Source organism: Homo sapiens, chromosome 18, assembly GCF_000001405.40.
Source record: "Homo sapiens chromosome 18, GRCh38.p14 Primary Assembly".
In the NCBI taxonomy this organism is placed as follows: Eukaryota; Metazoa; Chordata; class Mammalia; order Primates; family Hominidae; genus Homo; species Homo sapiens.
The window spans coordinates 80,188,290-80,212,473 of NC_000018.10; the positions used below are offsets into that span (position 1 = coordinate 80,188,290).

At 44.6% G+C, this 24,184-nt stretch overlaps 1 protein-coding gene across 1 annotated transcript in view; it reads right to left on the reverse strand.

Moving 5' to 3' along the window:
* PARD6G (par-6 family cell polarity regulator gamma) overlaps positions 1–24,184 on the reverse strand; it is a 90,283-nt gene that overhangs the window by 31,058 nt on the left and 35,041 nt on the right. Inside the window, exon 2 of the mRNA NM_032510.4 lies at positions 14,421–14,643. Within this exon, the coding sequence (NP_115899.1) occupies positions 14,421–14,643 (223 nt within the window). The remainder of the gene's footprint in view (positions 1–14,420; positions 14,644–24,184) is intronic.

Sequence of the window (24,184 nt, forward strand, 5' to 3'; positions counted from 1 at the left end):
CTGCGTCAGGGACTCAGATTCAAAGACTGAACCTACATGGGTGTCTTGGGGAACAGAGACTTGGATTCCAGTGCTGGTGTCTCTTCCAACAAGAATACTTTCTTGAGGAGCACAGATGCAGTTCCAAGGACCTAGGCACCTCCTCATGGTGCCTTCCACCTGCAATTCCCGTCCTGGGCAGCAGAAGTTGCCCTGCCCCAAGTTCTGACAGCCCAAAACCCGGCAGGACCCTCCTAGTACAGGCGCCTCGACCCAACTGTGCCAGCACAACCATCCCAGCCCTCCTCGGATGCCCAGTTCGCCAGAGGAAGGGTCTCTCTGTTTCCCCACCTATTGCTCTTGAGTTTTTATGATGAAGGAAAAAGAAAGGAAACATGGGCCCCTAATTTCCCACACAGATGCAGGGCAGAGTTCACACGGCTTCTCAGGGGCCTGCATCTCAGAAGATGGGCAGCTCTCGGCCAGTCACCCTGGCCTGGGATGGCCGGGGTACAGCAAGTGACAGGCATGTGGGAGAGACAAGCCCACGAGATGGGCTTGCGGGGAAGTCAGGCGGGTGCAATCCCTACCGTTTCCCCACGTTCGTGAGGGAGGTGTGGACTTGCTGGGGCATCTGAACACAAGAGTGACCTGGGGGGTGAATGCAGACATGGGAAGAGTAGTGCTCATCCCAGCAGAGGCAGCAAGGTAGGCGTTGCCCAGCCCGGGGTTGCCTGACACTCTCTGGGGCAGAGAACCCAGTTCTAGGGGCTGCCCACGTGTCACTTCCACCCCAGATCTGGCTTCATGGCCTGGTTGTGATTCACCCTGTATTTATACAACACTACAGCAGTTACCAGAGAGCACAACTGTAATTGAAACAACCAGAAATAACCGTTGGCAGAAAAGCCCATATTTAGAGCAGACCTCCTTCAGCAATTCCCATGGCCAGCATTCAAGGCCAAATTTTGCCAACACATCAAACCAACCGTTTTCTTCTTTCTTTTTAAAGGAGATCACAGAAGGCCAACAAAGAGGCCTGGGGCACGTCAACGTGGTCCTCATCGGACTGGCCAATGGTTCCTTCCTAACTCAACCAAGGGCCACTGCGCCACCGCAGCTGTGGGACCGTATCTCTGGATGATAAGCTGAGTCCAACACAAACACAACAGTAAGCCTTTCTAGCAGAGGATGCTAGGCAGTTGCTCCTGGGGCTCCTCAAGGGGCCAGCATGAAATACCAATGGGCAAAACACCTTTTTCTTCTGAGTCTACCACGAGGACAGCTAACTCCAGATGTCTTCTCTTACCCGCTAACTGACACCACGTCAGGAGCCCACCAGGCCAGGCAGGTCACCCTGGCCCCACAGTCCTCCCTGCCTGGCGCACAGACCCTCTGGACAAAAACAGCTTCAAGCACGTCCCCTGGGAGTCCCCCGTCCGTCGTTGAGGCTGTTCTTTCATCTCCCAGATGAGACCCGACCTCTCCTTCCAGAGAGAAGGTCAAGCACCAAGCAGAACTCGATCAGTTTTTAAACACCTAGATAGAGGCTCAAAGGCAAATGAAATACTGCTGTCAGAAGAATTTTTAAACAGCTGGTTTGAAATACCATGTAGGATATGATTTATCTACCAAAGAGCTCATTCTCTTAAAGTGTACAATTCAGTGTTTTTTAGTATATTCAGTGTTGTGTAACCACCACCACCACCTAATTCTGGAACACTTCATCACCCCAAAAAGAAACCCCAAACCCATTAGTCACTCCCCATCCCAAGGATATGACTTTCAAGAGGTTCCCAGATTACTCCAGGGTCTATTCGTACAACTTACAAGCAAAAGTGAGCACAGATTCTTAATCTCTCCTTTTATTATAAGGGTCATGTATCATATACACCATTCTACCCCATGTTTTCTGCTTAATATCGTCAAGAGCCTGGATTTTAAAAAAGAAACGACCCAAGCCACCTTCTGGCCATTTCTAAGAAGCTGTCCTGTGCACCGGCAAACAATCCGGGCTCAGGTGGATGAACCCACCAGAGGCCAGAGGAGGGTGCTGAGGGCAAAGCCTCCTGGGATGGGCAAACTCTGGCAGGCCTGAGAGGGCTTCTGTGTACACTGCCTCTCGTCCAGAGTCTGTTCCCAGTGGGCACTCTGCAGTCCAAGGAGGTGTCCCTTTAGGCCTCTGACCTGTATAATGGGCCTGGTGTGCACAGGCCCATGATTCCACCCATGAGCGCCTGAGCACACAGCTGCTTCTCCACCTGTAAGTCCAGCTGTGGGGAGGAGGCATGGAAGCAGGCCCAGACACGGATCCTGGTCTGTCACCTGATGGCCACGTGGCTCTGAAAAGTCACACGGCCTCTCCAGGATTCAGTTCTGTCCTATATAAAAAAGGCAGCCACCCCTACCTCTGAGAGGAGGTATTGGAGACCATGGATTTGAGGAGTGGAGGGCAGGCGGGCAGCTGTTGGGGGCTTAGGAAGCCTACAGAGACAACGCCTCTGACTCCTCTGTGAGGCCCTGCAGCCCCTGGAACTCTTTCTTGGTCTCCAGGCAATCAACAAAATCACCATCCACGAGCAGGAAACAGAGCTCATTAAATCCCAGCCTGAAACAACAGATCCAGAACCTATTTGCCCAAATTCTCTGTGAAATGTGCAGGGTTTCTGCATCTCCCTCCACCTATAGCCCTGGGAACGACCCACCAGGGGCCAGACATTCTGGAGGCTCCATTAGACTCCTCTCATCCAACGGTAAAACAACTGTGGCAGGGCCAGCGTGTGAGAATTCACTGGCTCCGTAACACCAGGTGGATGAGTATTTTAACAGTAACAAAGGGTAAAGCAGAAGTTATTTTAATTTCAGAAGTGCCTGGCAATAGGCAGGAAGGTCAGTGAAGGCTTATTCAAGGGTTTCAGCAGCATATTCCAGGTAACTAGAAGATCCAGAGCTGATCACCTGTTAACCTCAAACCGGCCACCTCCCCAGGACCTGCAGGAGAAAATGTCGGGGCAGCAGCTGCCCAGATGCGTGGCCACAGCCCAGGCCTGGCAGAGCTACATGAGGCGATGCCTTTGTAAAATTCTCTTCTTTCTTTTTTTCCTCTGCTCTGTATGGTTCTTTGGGCTTTATCAACCTAGAGGAAAACGCCACTCAGATTGGGATGGAGTCATTACTCAAAACACTCTGAGTGCCGACCACAGCTCACCACCAGGAGCCCCCATGTGTGTCCCTGGGCAATGAGATGGAGAGACATAAATTTTCTGCCACAGATGATAGATTGCAGGCAGCTCAGACATATGAATTTCTACTGGTTCTTTTATCTGCTCACAAGAAATTTTCTTGAAAAATGTTTAAATCATTTAGGTTTTGGTCTATAAGAAAACCAAGTCTACAAGGGCATATGCCACAATTTAAATATATTTGTCAGACACCTAAGTGGGACCCTTGGACTTGGCCCAGCTGGGTTTTTGGTTCCTCGCCTGTAAAGAAGAAAGCTAGATTGGAGGACCTTTAAAACTCCTTCAATTTCAAATTCCTATGATTTTGATACAGCAGGAGACTCAATGTTTATTAACTAAATGTGCTTAGATGTATACGTGTGATAATGAGGGTAGCCAGAAAGAATCATGTGTTGGGAAAACTGTTTAGGTTAGAAAAGACTTGTTCCAAGATAGGGATTTATTTCCTAACGCTGACAAACCAGCCTCCAAAGCCAAATCTAAAATTGGTCAAAGGTGTCCAACTCCACCTTGATGATTCTGAACATCAAAAACGTGTACTTTCATGTTTTCAATGTACAAGAAGGTCAGCGTTAACCACAAGAAGTTTCCATTTGATCATTAAGGAGTCACTAAAAACCCTAGAAGGTGTTGGGGTCACAAGACCAGACTGCGCATTCTCTACGAGACATGATATGACAGTGACCCCTTCGTTCATTCCTGAGAAGCAAGAACATCAATGAACACTCTCCTTCGGTGGTCTCTGAGTCGTCCCTGAGGTGGGGTGCAGTGCAGGCAGAGGGGCCTTCTGGCCTCAGCTCCAGCTCAAGGGGGTCTTGTTTAGCTGCCACTTGGGAGCAGATCTGTTTTGGAGCCCTTAGGTGAGGCCTCAACTGAATGCCAACCCTAACTGAAGCCACTGCCCAGTGGGAGCCCAGGGGACGGGGGAGAGCAGGTGCCACGGCGGGAGCCCAGGGGACGGGGGAGAGCAGGTGCCACGGCGGGAGCCCAGGGGACGGGGGAGAGCAGGTGCCACGGCGGGAGCCCAGGGGATGGGGGAGAGCAGGTGCCACGGCGGGAGCCTGAAGCTCCACAATTGCCAAGGCAGCCCCAGGGACCTGTGTGGGGCTGTCATGACACATTGAAGGGTACACTGTACTTTCTGAACCTTACTGTGGTCCAGAACACCAAAGACAAGGAGGGAAGAATGATAAGAGTGAAAGAAAAGCACACCTGGCCTGGAGATGAGGGTCAACCAGTCCCAAATCTCCACTGTTCATTATCTCCTCCTCACAGTCCCCACGCTGTGGGCAGGGACCCTCCTGGCTCGCCGGCCGTGGGAGCTGGGCTGTCAGTCCTCCCCTCACTCCTGTGTGGAGGGCGGAGGAGAGGTGTCTGCAGGGGAGCTGCTTGGCAGCAACTTCTGGTGGATGAAGCACCAATGTGTCCAAGTCCTCCTGGCCCCTGCTGCCAACATGTCAACACATCACAGAAGACTGACATCTCAAGACAGAACTTGCTTCCTAGTTCAGAAAGGCCCCAAGCAGATGGTGGCTTAGGTCTCTGAGCTGTACTCTTTCTTAGGGTAATTTAACTCGGAGACCCACCTGAAGCCCAAGAGGCACAGCCCCTCCTCAGCACTGATGCCAGTATCACAGAAGGCTCGCTCCTGACCCTGACGTCCTCCCCACTCCAGGTCCTAGGAGCCTGTGGCCTGGGGTGTGGTCAGTACACAGGCGCTGGGAGAAGCAGCCAGGGGAGGAGGGTCGGCCTCACGCATGGCCTGGGGAAGGGTCCAGGAGCTCCCCAGAGACTCAACAAACTCCATCAGCAAGGGAAAATTCTTTCATGCTTTCTGAAAAAGTGTAATCCCTCACCCTTTGATTTGAAATTTCTAGCAAGACCATAGATATATCAGTTATAAACATGCCCCAAGGACATTTTGTAGAAATTTATACTTTTAGGTACAGAGCTGTTTTTTGGAGTCTGGCTTCAATGCAACAAAAATACAAAATGCTTTAATGGGTACAGAGTTTCAGTTTGGGAAGATTAAAACATTCTGGAGACAGATGATGGCGATGTTTGTACAATGTACCTAATGTACTTAATGCCCCTAAACTATATACCTAAAGATTGTCAAAATAGAACATTCTACATTACATATATTTTACCAGTATAAAAAGTAAGTCATTAATATTTGATACTGGTTAATGTCTTGGTGTTGACACTTTGCTCCACCCAGCATGTGGCTCCGAGTGGAACTGCTGAGGAGTGCTGGCAGGAAGTACTGGCAGGAAGGCGGGAATGCCCAGCATCCCTGCCACACACCATCATGAGGAGTAAACGGCTCCAACTCCAACAGCACCTCTCACCCCAACTCTGCCTGTGTGTGTCAAGTGCCACAAAAACAGTCGGGATTTCTGGAAGCCTGAGTACAGGTGGGATGTGCTGCACATGGTGACCTCCAGGCTGAATCATTTTCCAACAGGAGGGGATGGAAAGTACAGAGATATGGGGCAAAAACAGGAAAAGAAACTGCTGTGCAAGAGGAAATCCAAATCTTGCTTACGTTTCTGGAAAAGAAAAAAGTTCACAGTGGAAATTTTTATGTCTCTGGACTCCAAACTAATATAGGTATACAATTTCTACAACGAGCTACTTTTCATTAGTGTATATTGAACAGGGATCCTCCTGGCCACAGAAAACAACACGGCCTTAATGTGACAGCGCCACTCAATCCATCCTCGGTGCTGAGCACAAGCAAGCGAAATGTGAATTCATTAGTGTGAGGTGCGTGCCTGTCGCTACCTCTGCATCCTCTACGTAAATAAAGGTGCCAAATGGGCCCTAACTCATGGATACATGAACTAAATTTCAAACTTTAGCTGAGAACTTATTCACAATGTTTGACCTTTCTTGAAGCCTCAGTGTCATCATGTATAAAAGGAGGAAACTTATACAACTTGGTTTATTGTGAGAGTCACACGATAATTTTAGAAATCCTTGGTTAGCAGTAGAACATTACGTGTTTCTGAGAACATTCTAAATGTTCTCAGGCAGAGGTTCATAAACGTCAACGTGCATGAGCTATGGACATTCACCCCCCCGAGATCTTAGTTCCGTGGGGTAGGGGTGAGCTCTGGACTTTGCATATTTCATAATCCTGGCTCCAAAATACTAGTGCAGGAGGATCCTAGGCCACGTGGGGAATTATTTCTAAGGGTTCCTGAAGTAACAATGGTAACAGAGGTGAATTTTAGGAAGTAAAGGATGTGAACTAGGAAAGAGATGGACATAACTGAGGGGGGAAATGATACCCATGGGAACAGAGAAACCTGCGTGTGAGGTGTCAGCATGAGGAGACCAGGGGCTCAAGTGAGCCCCTCCGAGGGGATGGCTGTGCTGCAGCAGAGATATGACTAGAGACAACCCTCCTGGGCCGACTGCTAGAGAACAGCAGCGCCACTGTTGCGTCTCACTGTGTGGCTGGGGAATAAAACGGCAGGAGGAGGAGGGGACAGGAAACCAGCTCTGCCAGCCAGAGTCCCACCTTGGACGAATCACTTGAGCTCGAGATGATCATTGGCCTAATATGAAAAGAAAGCCCCAACCTGTGCCTCCACGCTTGGCCTCAGTTCCATCAAACTGCACCCACACAAATGTGTTAATCATCACACAAGCCACTCTGACATGACAGAAACAATGACATGGCCATTTTTACCACACAACACTCTGGCCAACTGACAGGTACAATCTGCTCACGGGCAGCATCCTTTTTGCTAGACTTGAACTCTGCAGACCTGCAGCTCCTCATCCACCGAGGCCAGGCTGACAGGAGCGTCCATGAATACAAAATGCCAGGTGCTTGGAGCAGGCGGGAATCCCTGTTCCCAGGGTGGGCAGCCATGTACCTGGCCCCCCTCGGTGCTATTCCGGCAGGAAAGCAGCCTCCCCCTGCACCTCAGGCCAGACCCTTGCCGGCCTTCACTGCAGCATTCAAGAGGGAAAATTCAAAGATCAGGAGTTCCTGTCCCACACAATAAGAGTCTTCAAAGATACATATATATATATATATATATATATACACACATTTTTTTTTCTTTTTTTTTCTGACCAGGTGCGATGGCTCCATAATCTCAGCACTTTGGGAGGCTGAGGTGGACGGATCACCTGAGGTCAGGAGTTCCAGACTGGCCAAAATGGTGAAACCCTGTCTCTACTAAAAATACAAAAAAATCAGCCAGGCGTGGTGGCGCGTGCCTGTAGTCCCAGCTACTCAGGAGGCTGAGGCAGGAGAATCGCTTGAACCTGGGAGGTGGCCGTGTCAGTGAGCTGAGATGGCACCAGTGCACTCCAGCCTGGGCAACAGAGCGAGACTCCATCTCAAGAAAAAAAAAAGTAAACTTTTTTTTTTTAAAGTAAAAAAGAACCAATTCAAACGTTACTCTAGAGCCCTGCAAAAGAGTGGTCCCCTGGCAATATATATATTTTAGTTCAAAATACTCATACCTTTTAACCCAGCAAGAACATTTCTACCAGTTTCCCTTAAAGACAGAACCTGACAAGTATTTTAAAATATACAACATAGTTTATAATAAAATTGTAACAATTTAAATAACAATTAATAAGGACTTGGTTATACTTTGTTAGAGCTGTGTAACTGATATGTCCACCATTGATGTATGTCTACATACATCTACAAAAAGACAAAAAATATGGTGGTAGGTTAAAATAATTGCTATGCCATGTATATTATGACCCTGTTTGTGTAAAACTACGTCCAACTAACCACGTCTACAGTGAGAGGCCTGGAATGATTCTGCCAAAATGCAAAAGTCATTGCCTCGGGGTGGTGGGATTGCTTCCATGTCATCCAAATCTTGTTTTACAAATATGTTTTAAACAGAAGAGCTTTTTTAAAAACAACAAAGTTTTATGAAGAATTTAATGATGGATATGCTTATGATATGTTAGGTCTTTAAAGATAATCCAAATTATAAATACATTATGGGTTTAAATTTAAGAAAAGTAAGAAAATCACAGACTCCAAGCAATATAAACTCTCACCATTTACATACAAGGTGTTTTGCTGGGACTACAGGAGAATACAAGTTAGTCATCTGTTTCCCTCTCTGTTCCCATTGGCTCAATTGGAAGAGAATCAAGGCAGAGAGCAGGGCGGCTGCTCACAGCGCCTGCAGGGCTCGGCTTCATGTGGGCGCCCTGGAGGACAACCCTGGATTCTTCTGGAGGGGGGCCTCTGGCTCTGTTTCTTTTTGACAAGCTACATCAGCACATTTTCTCCTCCCTCAACACACTCCTACTCTAGCGTGAACGCGGCTGCAGGAATTTCATCTTCTCCACATTCCCACGGTGGAGTGGGAGACTTTTTTCTTTTATTAAAAAAAAAAAAAAAAAAAAAAAAAAAGAAAATCCTCCAAACACACAAACTTCCAGGAATCTGTGGCAATTAAAGCAGCAAACATGTCTCATGGAAAACCTCCTACCCCAGAGGGCAAAGCCCACGTTCTGTCTGTTCCCATAAGCACATGGACACAGTGAGGCTAATTCAGCAAAAATATACCTCTTCCCTGCCCCCAAGAAACAAAACCTCAAGCCCCTAGGCGGTGTCCGAGGAAAGAGACTACAATGGGGCGTGGAATGCAGAAATTGAATTCTGACGGCTTAACTGAGGGCTTCCTGATGAGCAGTGAACCCTCAATTTAAAAACCAAACATACCTCTAGCTATTTCCCTAAGAATCCAAGAAAAACAATTATAAGCAGGATTTCTATGCTTGATACTTGAAAATCCTGCCAGTGTCCATAACAAGATTCTCAATCATTCCATACCCCTTCCTTTTTCTAGTAACTCACTTAAGTGAAATCAGAGCAAAATACACCCCATCGGGCAAATTCTGATAAATCAAATAGTTTACAACTGTGTTCTCCTCATTCTAGGAACCCAAAAGAATGCCCAGAATGCCAAGAACAGTGAACAGCCATACGCAAACGGGCAATACTGATGTTAGCTTTAAAAGTAAGGAGTTCAGAGTGCTCTGTGCTGAACATCTTTCGGTGTAATTAAGCCTTCATATTCCTGAGGAGGAGCTACTAAGACACCCTACCAAGTCCTGGGCTGTGCCTGGAGGTGAGTAACCACACTGCAGGGTATGCTAGCATTTGCAGAGTTTATTTGATGGATAAGCAGGGAAAAGTTACTGTTTGCACTTCCTGTTTATCCTGCTAAAAATAGAGATGCTCCAAGTATCAACTTGGTTGTGCATTCTCTGGCAAGGGCCAGCTTCCCAAAACATTCCTGCACCCTTGGGGAGGCAGGGGAACAGAGAAGCGGGTCCTTAACACTTAACACATTCTGTATTTACAACCTAAATACGCAGACTCAAGTCCAGACCCTCTCATCGTGGCCAATCCATTCTGGTAACTGCTGTTCTTCTCACTTAAATGGGCACAGCGATACAGAGAAGGGCAAAGACAGCTGTCATGTGTCCAAGGGAAAAGCCCATGGCTTTTCACAGTCCCTGGCCAGATGCAGCAGAAGCCTAGCAAATAAAGAAGAAAGGCAGTGAAGGCCTAAGGCTGGGTCCTTTTGCCCCCAAATGCCATGTAGTCGTTGAGAGAACGTCCGGAGAGAACGTCCGGATCATCCCAGGAGAATGAAAAACAAGTCATTCCTGGCCTGTCGTCTGAGCCTCAAATGCAGCCTCTCTGCAAGTGGGGCTCTTAACCTGGTATAAGCCGAGAGCCCTTTAGCAATCTGATGATGCTAGGGAACACCTTTCTCAAAATAACGTTCCTAAAGGCATAAAATAAAGCACAGGGGATTATAGAGGAAATTATTTTGAAGACAATTATCAGAATAGTAAAACAAATGTGTGACAGATTACTTTTCTTATTCATGCATTAAATAACAATATGTACCGTTGTTTTTAAATAATGATTACTGTAAATGATATTTAGGATATTGGAATGCAACTACCACAGGATATGAAAATATCTCATTTTTATTGGTAACAAAGTGACAGGCCCAGCTAGTCCCATTGGGCTGTGCTGAGTGCCTTCCCAGTGAGGACAGGGAGACAGCTGGGGATGCCACACTCCTGTGCCCACCTGGGGCACTCACCAGGCTTGGAGCCCTCTCAGAGAAGCACAGGAAGTTTCCTATTACCAGGGGAAGAGAGGATTTTTTTTTAAAGTTTTGAACAAATATGTTTATTAAAAAGTCAAAGTATTCACATATGGAGAATGGCTGAATTTTGGAAATAAAGGCTGGAGATAAACCCAGAAAACCTTACCCAGGGCCATGGCTCAGATCCAGGGGTCTGATCATCAGCCTGTCCGCCCTGGTAAGGTAGACAGTCCTTTCTATTTTTAACAGCTTTATTCCGAAATAATTCACATAAACTTCACCCATTTAAAGTGTAGAATTCAATGGTTGTTGGTATTTATGCAAATCTCTAGTTCTAGAACATTTCTATCACTCCAGAAAGAAACCCCCTCCCTCCCAATTCTCCCCACCTCTCAGCCCCTGGCAACCATGAGTCTATGGATTTGCCCATTCTGGACTTTTCACATTACAGAGGATTCTTGTCACGTGTAGTAGTTTGTTCTCTAAAGTTGACATGGTCACTGAATTACTGAGCATAGAACCATTGCTTCCGGGGGACACAGGGTTAGGTTCCTGTTAGCCTCTGGTCACAACATTTCATCAATACACAGTCCTTGAATAATGAGAATCAACTTCCAAAGTCATCATACAATATGGGAACTTTTATGTCCGGCTTCTCTCACTCTTAAACATACGGTTTCTGAGGTTCATCCATCTGTAGCATGTGTCAGCGCATCATTTTTCATGGCTCGATAACATTCCACTGCATGACTAGACACACACGCACATGCGCACACTTTTTTATCCATTTATCAGCTGATGGACGCGTGGGCTGTTCTCGCCTTATGGATATTGTGAATAATGTTACTATGAACATTCGTGTACTTTTTGTGTGGGTGCATTTTTCCATGTGCTAGTATTTTGCTGAAGGGTTTTTACATCTACATTCATAAAGGAATGCTGTTCTGTAGTTTATCACTGTGTCTTTGTATGGTTTGGAGGAAGAGATTATTTTAAGCAACAGATTAATTTTTCTTTTTTTCTGAGACGGAGTTTCGCTCTGTCACCCAGGCTGGAGGGCAGTGGTGCAATCTTGGCTCACTGCAACCTCTGCCTCCTGGGTTCAAGCGATTTCTCCTGCCTCAGCCTCACGAGTAGCTGGGACTACAGGCACATGCCACTACACCTGGATGATTTATATATTTTTTAGTAGAGATAGGGTTTCACCATGTTGGCCAGGCTTGTCTCGAACTCCTGACCTCAAGTGATCCACCCGCCTCGGCCTCCCAAAGTGCTGGGATTACAGGCGTGAGCCACCATGCCTGGCTGAGCAACAGATTAATTTTTTAAAACATAATTGTGGGTTTATTCCAACATGTATTAGGAGAATGCTGACTTTTCCTCTGTGATAGTAAATTCCCTCTTAACATATATTTAAATAAAATACGTCCGTGTACAGAAAGTTATTAAGTAAATGACACAGTGGGTACGGCTGCAGTAGAATCTTGAAAATAGCATGACCGTGACTGACCCCTCGACACCCCTGCTGCAGTAAAAAGGCTGTGGGATTGAGTGTTGCCTCTCAGGGGCCTCAGCTCTGCCCCAAACGCAAACACACAGATTATGAAACATCAGCACAGATTACTATGCAGGGAGGGTGCCTGACTGTGCACCGGAAACAACTGCCCCTGACTGCCACCTGGAATGTCGTCATCTTTACAGTCAAATCCACTGAGGACAGCGAGAGGCAGCTCTGATTTTCCCAAAGACAGGACCGAGGGGCCAGTGAAGGGCTTGTCATCAGCAGATGTCGCTGTTAAGCTCTGACAACAACCCCAGAGACAGGCACTACCACCCGTGCCACAGATGAGGACGGTAGAGCTCTGCGGGATGAGGCGTGTGTTTGTGTCACAAAGCCAGGGAGAAGGTGGGGTCTGAGTTCAGGTCTCCCTAGCTCCACACTGTAACATGACAGAGGAAGGCAGGGGCTGCTGGCGACACGCTCACGCTATAACCACGAGAGACTGAGAAACCCTGAGCCAGCTAGTTAAACTGGGCTACTACTCTGAGGGCAGAGGAAGAAGGAAAAATAAATGATGAAGACTGAACACAGGGCCCCAGCCAGCAAGCTGGAAAGAGGCAGAGTGTCCGAGCTGCTGCTGGAGGTTAGCACGTTCCCATGGGCAACACACAAGCCCACTTTCTGGTCCCAGCCCAGCTTTGATGCATCCCCAGTAGAGGGTGCCAAGACGCCTGGGGCCCACCTCCAAAGGGCACAGTGCCTTCTGCTGGCCTTCACCCCAGCTCCACAGTCAGCGGGACAAAAAGACTTGTTTCCTGCACGATGGGCAACAAAGCCTGTGCGCACATCTGCAGTTTACACACCTTCTTCACACCATTGCTCACCCCACACCATGTGAGCAAATGCTGTGACCTGGGATGGCAGGGGCACAGCCAGGAACACACCCCCACCCTACGCTCCTGGTCGGGTGGAGACAGACGGCAAACCAGCTCTGGGAGCAATGGACAGAGCCCAGAGGAAGCCGAGTAAGAGGACAGAGGACGACAGGCAGAGGGGAACACGGGCTCATCAGATCAAGCAGCTGAGACCAGGCCTTCCTGAGAAGGCAGCCTGTGAACAGATACAGACACCCAGGCAATGTGAAGGGGTAGAGAGTTCCAGGGCAGGGGGCAGGGGGCACAGGCCTCCATTCCAGGACCAGCCAAGCAGCAAGCAGCCACTGCAGAGGGCAGCATACAGAGGACCGAGGTGTGGCACGCTGGAGGCTGTGCAGAGCCATGCAGAGACAGCGAGGGTCCTTGCCCCCAGCAACCCCGAAGGACTGATGTGGAAGCTGAAGCTCAGCCCGTCCCCCAGGCCACTGTGAGGAAGTGACAGCTGTGTTGACTTCTCAGCACCGTCAGCAGGATACCCAGGCCCAGTGAGAACTGCAGATGCAGAGTGTTCTGATCTTGTGCCAGAGAATCTGTCTGAAGTGAGGTCAACGAGTCTCCTGCCGTTCCCTTCATCACCACAAATGGGAATAACAGCCATAGCTAGTATTTACAGAGCAGGGACGAGGAGCTGGCAGCACGCTGCTCAGCATCACCCTCACAGAAACTGGATGGGGGTTACTATGAGGACCCTCGTTTTGCAAAGCAGGACGCTGGGGTGAAGGAGGCGGAGGGCCTCGTCTGAGAACTCGCCCAGCCCGCCTCCCACCCAGCACCCTGCTGCTGCTTCCTCTAGTCTCAGCTCAGCCTTTCCTCCGGGAAACCTCTCCTAGCTGTCCCAGAGACTCTGGCAGCAGATCCATGAGGGCAGACAGGGCACACTGCAACCTCACCTTGCAACTGTCACCACTGGCTGCTTGGTTCCTTGAGGTGGTCAGTGTTCACCACCTGCACCGTGGGGCCGCCCAAAGGAGAGGCAGTCAGTTATAAAAATGCCATTTTCCCAATATCAAGCCTCACCTGCAGGTGCTTCTTTCTTTCAGCATATTATTTTGAAACAACAAGGTTCTCCGAAGTTTGGAGATGGAAAAAAAATCTAAATGCAGTCCAGAGACGTGAGCAGTATGAGGTCCCACAATAAGTCAGCAGTAGGGCACCCCTTCCCTTTCAGCCATTAACCTATGTTAGTAATTTATTTTAACATAAAATGATATTATTACTTATAGCGAAACTGGGCCTCAGAGCTAAAAGTTAACCAAAGTTATCATCGAAAGCTAACATGCTCCCTCCTCCTAACAAGATGATGGAGGGCATGCACCGTAACCCCAAGTTTCATTCTGAGGCCACTGACTCAAGCCTCCTTATCACTGAGTCATTTCACTTCTAGTTAAATGACTGGAAGTATCAATATTATTCTTTCTTCAGTATTTAAAAGTCAGAAGTCAATATCATTTAAAGTAGAAAACACAGTTTAGTATTTTGTCTATTAATGCTGATGAAACAATTTTTAATTTCTTTAATCTCCTACTACAGGTTAGAAAACGAACCACATAGTCCTGTAATGACAGAAAAAATTGAAAACTGTATTTTAAAAATGATTTCTCAACAAGACCAGCCGGCCACTCAACCACTTCAGTACCTCGTTTCTGGATGAAGACCCTGAGCAGGGGATTTGCACTAGAAACCGCCTTGCAGAAGTTGTCATCATTGTTGATGGGCAGCAGGTCTCCGTGCACATCTGCATAGCCAATAGTTACATCACTGTTGGAGATATGGTGGGTGTGCACAACCAGCTTGTAGAAATCTTCAAACTTCCCAGGCTTATGACGGTCCAGAGAGAACCTTCGGAATTCCGCCCCAAACTACAATGCAAGAGACGGGGTGGGGGGAGGGGCATTAATAAATACCAGAGAAATATCCAGAAATAAGGTGTGGTTAGTGTACTTAACAAACAAGTATTTACATTCCACATTTTCTTTAATCAATCATCCACTGATAGACACATAAGTTGATTTCATCTTTGCTATTATGAATAGTGCTGGAATGAAGCTACAAATGCTTTTAATACGATTTCTCTTCCTTTGGGTAGAAACACAATAGTAAGACTGCTGGATCCAATGGTAACTCTATTTTCAGTTCTCTGAGATATCTCATACTGTTTGCTACAGAGGCTGATGAATTTAAAATGTTGTATTAAGAAAATAAAAGGACAAGTATTTATTAATTCTCCACAAGGGCCTGGGGAGATAGTGACAAACAGCTCAGTTCTCACAGAGCTCACAGTGACTAAATAAGAAATTATAATACAGGAAGAGGGACCCTAAACAATTAAAAGCAGTAGTGACTCAGGCAGCAGCTCGCTCATCCACAGAGACCCAGGACGGCCCTCTCGTCCACACTGACCGAGGGACAGCTCAGTCATCAACACAGATGAATATCCTGAGGACAGGATAGGACGGGCTGTGTAGCTCATGTTGTAGGAAAAAGCAACGTCAAAATTAATGTTAATTTTTTGGGTGGCATGAAAGGAGAATCCTTCCTCAGCAAGGTCCCTTGCCTCATCTGTGGTTGCTGAAGGGACATCTGCACAGCTTGGGGCAGGGCTTAGGAAACTCAGAGGCAGGAGAGGACGCAAGGCCGGATGAAACCTCGGGACTGTTTCCAAAGGCAAAAGACCATTAAGACCTTACGGGTCTTAATTTTAAGCTAGGAAGTGTCTTCATTTGATTTGTACTTTAGTAATGGTTACATTTCAAAAGGATCAGAAGTAGACATGAAATTGCAAGAATAAAGGAACCTGGTTAAAATCATACAAGTCCAAGGGAGACAGGATGATGGTCTGGTCTTTTTCCTAAAGGCGACATGTACACCCGCCTCAGGAGCTGTCATTAGGTGGTCCAGGTTTGGGAAACATCTAGGGACTAACCTCTTTTCCAGCAGACCCCAACCCTGGCTCAGATGCCCATGAGCTGCCCGCAGAGCTCCAGGATACCCTCCAAGAGAGGACCCCAGGGGGACATGAGGTTAGGGTCATGCCCAAGGGTTCCGGCTCCTGTCATTCCTCACTCGGCAATTCGGGATCTTTATTCATCAGGTGGTACATATACAGTTGAAAACTAATTAGATTGGTTCCAAAATATATACAAATAAAGTAATGTTTATGGAAAACTAGTCATTATATCATCTAGACATTGTATGAATGAGTCAGGGAAGGTCATCTAAGATCAGACGTGTTTGTGCCAGGATCACCTGGAGGCCCCCCAGAGTTCTGGATTTGACTGTGCTGAGGTACAGCCTAAGAATCTGCATTTTAACAAGTTCCTGAAAGAGCTGATGCTATTGATCTGGGGACCACACACAGAGAACCACTGGTTTTATGGGAATCAGCCACTAGACCTTAACCTCCACAGATTCTTTGTGAAACTGAATTGCTCAAGAACAAATCTCCTTTTCTACCTCCCTTTCAAAAAGCACTTCCCCCAGGTTACCAAAAGCAAAACAAACCTCTCATCCATTGTGCACTGCCCTCAGCAATTAAAAAAAAAAAAAAAATCTCCAGGGCCTACAACAATGGGACAATTCAAAATACTGGCTTGGGGCAGGCATGGTGGCTCACGCCTGTAATCCCAGCAGTTTGGGAGGCCAAGGCGGGCAGATTACTTGAGGTCAGGAGTTCAAGACCAGCCTGGCCAACATGGTGAAACCCCATCTCTACTAAAAGTACCAAAAAATGAGCCAGGCATGGTGGCACACACCAGTAATCCCAGCAATCTCAGGAGTCTGAGGCAGGAGAATCCCTTGAACCTGGGAGGTGGAGGTTGCAGTGAGCCAAGATCATGCCACCGCACTCCAGCCTGGGCAAAAGAGTGAGACTCAGTCTTAATAATAATAATAATAATAACAATAGTTTGGGAAAAGCCACTTTCAATGACTAATCAAAGCCCCTCTAACCTACGGTCTACATACTCAGTAAGGGAAGAAGTGGGACCCCAGAACTTGGTATTTGGACAGTTACATGCTCTGAACACGGCTGCACCCTGGAAGGGGCAGAGGAAAGGGCTCTCCTCTATCTCCTGCTATTGTCAGAAGTGCAGAGCAGAGCAAACCCTTGAAATCTCTCCCCGTTATTCAAGGGGAAACGTTCACCCAAGGATGACACTGGTACAGCATGTAGGCGATGCAGATTCTTTCACACACAGGGGCTCCAAAACTTTAAGACACACATGTAAAGCCTACAACATCAGTTTTATGCGGTATCTTTCAGATCACAAAGCATTTATTTCACTAACATCAATCCTTGTCTTTCCCATCTCACATAGCTCATATATACTCACACGGTTTGCATCTGTGTCCCCACCCAGGTCTCATGGTGAATTGTAATCCCCAGTGTTGGAGGAGGGGCCTGGTGGGAGGTGACTGGATCATGAGGGCAGAGCTCTTATGAATGGTTAAGCCCAACTCCAGGTGCTGTTCTTGTGATGGTGAGTGAGTGAGTGATCACGAGATCTGGTTGTTTTAAAAGTGTGTAGCACCTTCCCCCTCTTTTAGTCCTGCTCCTGCCATGTAGGATGCCTACTCCCATCTTGCCTTCTGCCATGAGTAAAAGCTCCCTGAGGCCGTCCCAGGAGCAGATGGTCACCATGCTTCCTGTGCAGCCTGTGGAACCGTGAGCCAATTAAGTCTCTTTTCTTTATAAACCACCCAGTCTGTAGTCTTTCTTTACAGCTATGTGAGAATGGACTAATACATATACCAACTTCCAAAGCAATTTCCTTGTATCACTATATGGCTTTCGTTTAACTGAATACATAAGATAATTTAATCATGTCTAATGCAACTAGTAAGAGTGTTTTTGAATTTTATATAATTCTCACTTCAGTATCACCGCAAAGGGATACAGCTCACTTTCACCTCAGGAACGCCAGGCCTCCCTGAAACAGCATAGGCTAAATGTTAGTTCTACAATGTTTCAGTCTTAACTTTATTTAGCAACTAACCTAAAACACATCTCAGTTTCTCAGTACGTTCAATAATTTTCTCAAAATATGTCTTAGCATGTTAACTTGAAATGAAAAATAAATTCAGACTGTTTCCTGAGAGAAAACAAGGTTGATTTGTGTTTAATGATGAGGCTGACTTTGCCAACCCAGCTATATGGTAAACATGCTTCATATGTTGAATGAGCTCCAAAGTTTTGACAAAAAGAGATGTGAAATGTGACATGACAAAAGCATTGTATTTAAAAATCATATTGGTATTGGGTACTAAATATTTTTATTTCCCCATGATATCAGATTAAACAAGAGTCCTCTAAATGAAGGAATTAGCAGGTATAATTCATTGTCACATACTTCTTGGTAAAGTCCTTCCAGTATACTTACCAGAAACTGAAACAGTGAATGGCTCTAATGACCAGGCAATAAACCTTGCAAGTCAAGTAGTTTCCAATTACTTGCTTTTGACAAAATATAAAGTTGTCCTAACTGAACTGTCAGCTAATTATCAAAATAATTTTGAGAGACCACCCTATTATTTTTGTCACACAACCTGTTGAGAGTTCAAAGAACTGAGCTGTGCTTAGGGGCCTTCACTCTCATCTACCTGAGTGTGCAAATGAAGCTTCACAGTGTTGACACCCAACAATAAAAATTGCAAAACAATTAGTGCCAGCCTACCTCATTTATCAATAAATACTTAACAGTAAATGAAAGATTCTTCAAATGTTTATTTGGATGGCTAGTGATTATCAATAAATACTTAACAGTAAATGAAAGATTCTTCAGATGTTTATTTGGATGGCTAGTGATTATCAATAAATACTTAACGTAAATGAAAGATTCTTCAGATGTTTACTTGGATGGCTAGTGATTATCAATAAATACTTAACAGTAAATGAAAGATTCTTCAGATGTTTATTTGGATGGCTAGTGATTATCAATAAAGACTTAACAGTAAATGAAAGATTCTTCCGATGTTTATTTGGATGGCTAGTGATTATCAATAAATACTTAACAGTAAATGAAAGATTCTTCCGATGTTTATTTGGATGGCTAGTGATTATCAATAAATACTTAACAGTAAATGAAAGATTCTTCCGATGTTTACTTGGATGGCTAGTGATTATCAATAAATACTTAACAGTAAATGAAAGATTCTTCAGATGTTTATTTGGATGGCTAGTGATTATCAATAAATACTTAACAGTAAATGAAAGATTCTTCCGATGTTTATTTGGATGGCTAGTGATTATCAATAAATACTTAACAGTAAATGAAAGATTCTTCCGATGTTTATTTGGATGGCTAGTGATTATCAATAAATACTTAACAGTAAATGAAAGATTCTTCCGAAGTTTATTTGGATGGCTAGTGATTATCAATAAATACTTAATGTAAACGAAAGATTCTTCAGATGTTTACTTGGATGGCTAGTGATTATCAAATTGCACAACTATGTTCCAATCACCATTTGATAATACTTGTTAATAACTCAATCTAGAAATTTACTATAACAATCTATTTCATTTATAATTGTGGTAAAACACACATAAAATTTACCATATTAGCTCTTTTTAAGTGTACAGTTCAGGAGTGTACATTCACACTGTTATGCACCCACTCTCTAGATTGCTTTTCATCTTGCAAGCTAGAACCCTATACTAGTAAACAACTTAAAAATATTTTTAACAAATAGAGCCCCAGGACCACAAGAGAAAAATATTTGAACTTCAATTTATACATATTTTTTGTTGCAGAGAAGAGTAACAGGGGTAACGAAGCATAAGTTATTAGAATAAAATATTAGGACAAAAATCTCTTGAGGGAGTAATGGGAAGAAGAAATCAAAGAGAAAAAGAAACCATGTATAATTTCTGATTAGAAAAGAGCTCTTCAGAGTCAGAAAAGTGGCAAAAATAAGAGTCTGTTTATCCTATTTTAAAATGCATGATAGTGGTATCAAATCACTGCAGCATTTAGATTTCACTGTATCAAATCACTGCAGCATTTAGATTTCACTGTATCAAATCACTGCAGCATTTAGATTTCACTGTATCAAATCACTGCAGCATTTAGATTTCACTGGCTGTATTTAGAAGATCATGCACCAAAAACTTTATTTGTAATGGAATATTTACAGCATGCTGTAAATTACATCCTTTGCAAACTATTTATATTTACTAAAAAAAATTCAGGTACCAACTTAAAAATATATCATCCCCTTTTATAGTGGTAGTTTTTCAAAATTCTTTCAGGCTTCATGTGACATTTGAAGACCACAACATCAGAGTTCAGGGATCACTATGAAAATGCCTAAACCACCATTAAAGGTTAGCAGGAGACTTGGCACTCCCTAATATTTTCATTGTTTTTCATGTGGGTGTTTGTTCGTATAGCAGGACTTACAACAGGACGGCTGCTTCAACATCTGCTGGGCTTCATTCATTCACCTACTATCCCGCACATAAAATGCCTCAAAGGGAGCCATCCTATCCCGGGAGGTCATCTCCTCACTCCAAACCAGTGACCAATTTCAATGAAAGATCAATACTCAAGCCAGGCATGGTGGTATACACCTGTAGTCCCAGCTACTTGGAGGCTGAGGCAGGAGGATCACTTGAGCCCAGGAGTTCCAGGTCAGCCTGGGCAACATAGCAAGACCTTGTTTATGTTAAAAAAAAAAATCAAATTTCCTAAAAAAGATTGCATTGCTGTGCCTGGCCTAGGTTAGTAGCAAGTTAATAGATAACCCCATCAAAAAGTCCACATTGGCCAGCGATGGCTGATGTCTGTAATCTCAGCACTTTGGGAGGCCAAGGGAGAGTCCGAGACCAGTCTGGCCAACATAGTGAAACCCCATCTCTACTAAAAATACAGAAAAACTTAGGCAGGCGTGGTGGCACACGCTTGTAGTCCCAGCTACTTGGGAGGGTGCTCCAGGAGAACTGCTTGAACATAGGAGGCAGAGGGTGCAGTGAGCCAAGATTGCACCACTGCACTCCAGCTTGAGTAACAGAGTGAGACTCCATCTCGAAAAAAGAAAACAAACAAACAAACAAAAAAAAAAAACACACCTTTCCCTCACCAGTACCCTGACACTATGAGCTGTATCATTTCCCCTTAAAAGGACCCATGGTTCCGAGGCAAAATGGCTAATTCCAGGTATATGGCAAGAAATGTATGTAAGCCTATGAATCCCATGTTTATTTTTAAAGAATAAGATTATTTGTTATTGGGAAATACACAGGTGTGCAAATTCTTATTCTTCAATGCTTCTAGCTAAATGAACCCTCATTCATTATTTAGATAATGATTATTCTATTTTGTAGTTGACCCCAACTATTATTCCTACAACAGGATAGTAAAAAACGGGGTTGGGGGAGATTTCATCTTTTAAAATTATTAAAAATTATCTCAAATACAAAATACCAAGATCAATAAGCAAAAGCGTATCAGCATCTGGCTAGGTGTGGTGGCTCACACCTGTAATCCCAGGACTTTGGGAGGCCAAGGCAGGTGGATCGTTTGACTCTAGGAGTTTGATACCAGCCTGGGCAACATGGGGAAACCATGTCTCTACAGAAAAGTACAAAAATTAGCCAGGCGTGGTGGCACACGCCTGTAGTCTCAATCACTTGGCAGGCAGAGGCAGGAGGATCGTTTGAACCTGGGATGTGGAGTCTGCAGTGAAGTGAGACTGCACCATTGCACTCCAGCCTAGATGACAGAGTAAGACCCTGTCTCAAAAAATACAAAGTGTATCAAAAGCTTCTAAATGCAAATCATTTTTATTTTCTTTAAAATGTATTCAATGATAACATCATTATACTATAAATAGAAAATAAGAAATGTCCATCTATCACCTATATCATATCAATCTCTATTAATCATATCTATCTATTCCCCCAACTCTAACTTCTTATCATAATTTTGACCCTTTTCCTTCCAGAAGAAGGGATAGAGCTCGAGAAGTGCTTGTTGAATGAATAATACCTTGGAGCCAGTTGCGATAAAAGTAATGTTCCATACAGCTCTTGGTCAATAAGCAAGGAGACAAAAAGATGATGGAAACCCAAGACAGCTAGGAGCCTGGGAAGCACGACAGGAAAGATGACAGGACAGTGCTGTTTTAAGTTAATCTCCAAGCACTTCCAGAATGGAAGACTAGGACCTGCAAATCTCTGCTTATCCATTAAAGACAGAATACTGGGAAAAACTGTCAAAACCAACTTTTAGAGAACCGTGGAAATTAATCAATGGCTTGCAACAATGCAAGGAGTGTTTATTCTAGAAAAGCAGCTGAATCTCAGTAAGAGCAGCAAGCTTTGCGGTGCTTTCACTTCCTATCCACCTCTCAACTGTGAAATCCAGCAGCCTCACAGCCTGGGAGGGAGCAGAACCAGTCTGGAAGTTCCCCAAAGCCCACACTCAGGACTGTCATCGTCAGACCTGTCTTGCAGCTCCAGGAAAAGCCCTTCTCATAGGGTCAAGTTCAGTGGGAAAAGCCTTGTCCCCAGGGCATTTGCTGAACACAATCAGCATCAGCTGTTTAACATTTAAAGCTAATATGATCAAAGTTTAAAAAAAAGTTTTTTTCCATGGGCCAAGTTTATTTTGTTAGTAGGACCAAAATAGGTTATCTACAAAGGGAACGACTAATTATAAACAAATAATTATTGCATACTCCCTGCCAATTTTACATCTCTTGCCAGATACAAAGCATTTACTTTAATGAACTTACAACGAGTTACTTGCCTAAAACCACGGAAAGTGGGGATATTTTCAAAGCAGCTGCTTATGTGATATGACTGGCAAAACCTCCCCACCCCCCATCCCCAAACACACGTCACTAGTCATTCCTTTGAGTCAATACATTGAAGGCCTCTGTTAAAATATGATCTGCTGACAGACAAATGGAACTATTCACATTTAGTTCAAACTAGTTGATTGAGTTTCTTAGTCACTTAGTAAAAGGTCCTTTGTGAAAGGGACCCAGTAGCATTTTTTTCTTTTTTTTTGAAAAGCCATCTGTATTTTTAGGTTTGCTTTTAAGTGAAAATTTTACAACATGCTTGAAATTAGATCCTCTGCAGCTATTTATATTTCTTATGATAAAAATTAGATGCCAATTTAAAAATATATTATCTCCTTTACACTTGTTCTTAAAATTCTTTTAGAGGATATGTGATACTTGAAGATTGCTGCACTATGGTATAGAGATCACTGTGAAAGTGCCTGAGGAATAGTTACCATTGGGGCAAACAGGAATTGGACAAACACATTTAAAAGACAATGCTGGGACGCATACCCATTAGGATGGCTACTATCGAAAAAGCAAAATAGTAAGTGTTGGCAAAGATGTGGAGAAATTGGAATCCTTGTGCACGACTGGTGATAACGTAAAGCAGTGCAGCTGCTGTGAAAAACAATATGGCAGTTCCTTAAAAACATTACAAATAGAATTACCATATGATCCAGCATTCTACCTCTGGGTATATAACTAAAATAACCGAAGGTGGAATCTGGAGGAGATATTTGTATATCCATGTCCATAGCAGCATCATTCACAATAGCTAGAATGTAAAAACCTAAGTATCCATCAATGGATGAATAGGCAAAAGGTGACACATACATACAATGGAATATTATTCCATCTTCAAAAGGAAGGAAATTCTGATGTGCTACAACATGGACGAACCTTGAGGACATTATGCTGAGTGAAATAAGCTGGTCAGAGAAGGACAATACTGTATGATTCCACTTATATGAGGTAAATAGAGTACTCGAAATTTTATCACAGAGACAGAAAGTAGTATGGTTGGTGCCAGGGCCTTGAGGGAGGAGGAATGAGGAGTTTGAATGCAGAGTTTGAGTTTTACAAGATGAAAAGAGTTCTGGAAATGGGTGATGGCTGCGTAACAATATGAATATACAGCAGGTCCTCAAATAATGTTTCATTCAATGTTATTTCACTACAATACTGATAAAAAAAAATCGATTCCCAGCCAGGGCCACACTGTCTGTGTGGAGTCTGCATGTTCTCCTCACATTTACATATTCTCCAGTTACTCCAGTTTCCTCCCACGTCCCAAAGATGTGCACATTAGGTTAACTGATGAGTCTAAATTGTCCAAGTCCTTGTGGGTGTGTATGTGAGTGTAACCTGTGATGGAATGGTGTCCTGCCCATGGTTGGTTCCTGCCTTGTTCCCTGAGCTGCTGGGATAGGTCCTAGTCACTCATAACCATGAACTGGAATAAACAGGTTGGAAAATAAGTGAATGAATAAATACAAATTATTGTAAAATAAAAATCTGTAATCACACAAATACGTGGCAAGAAATGACTGCGATAAATGCTGCAGTATGAAAGTGCCGGCCATATTTGTTATTGTTTGCTTTTGAACT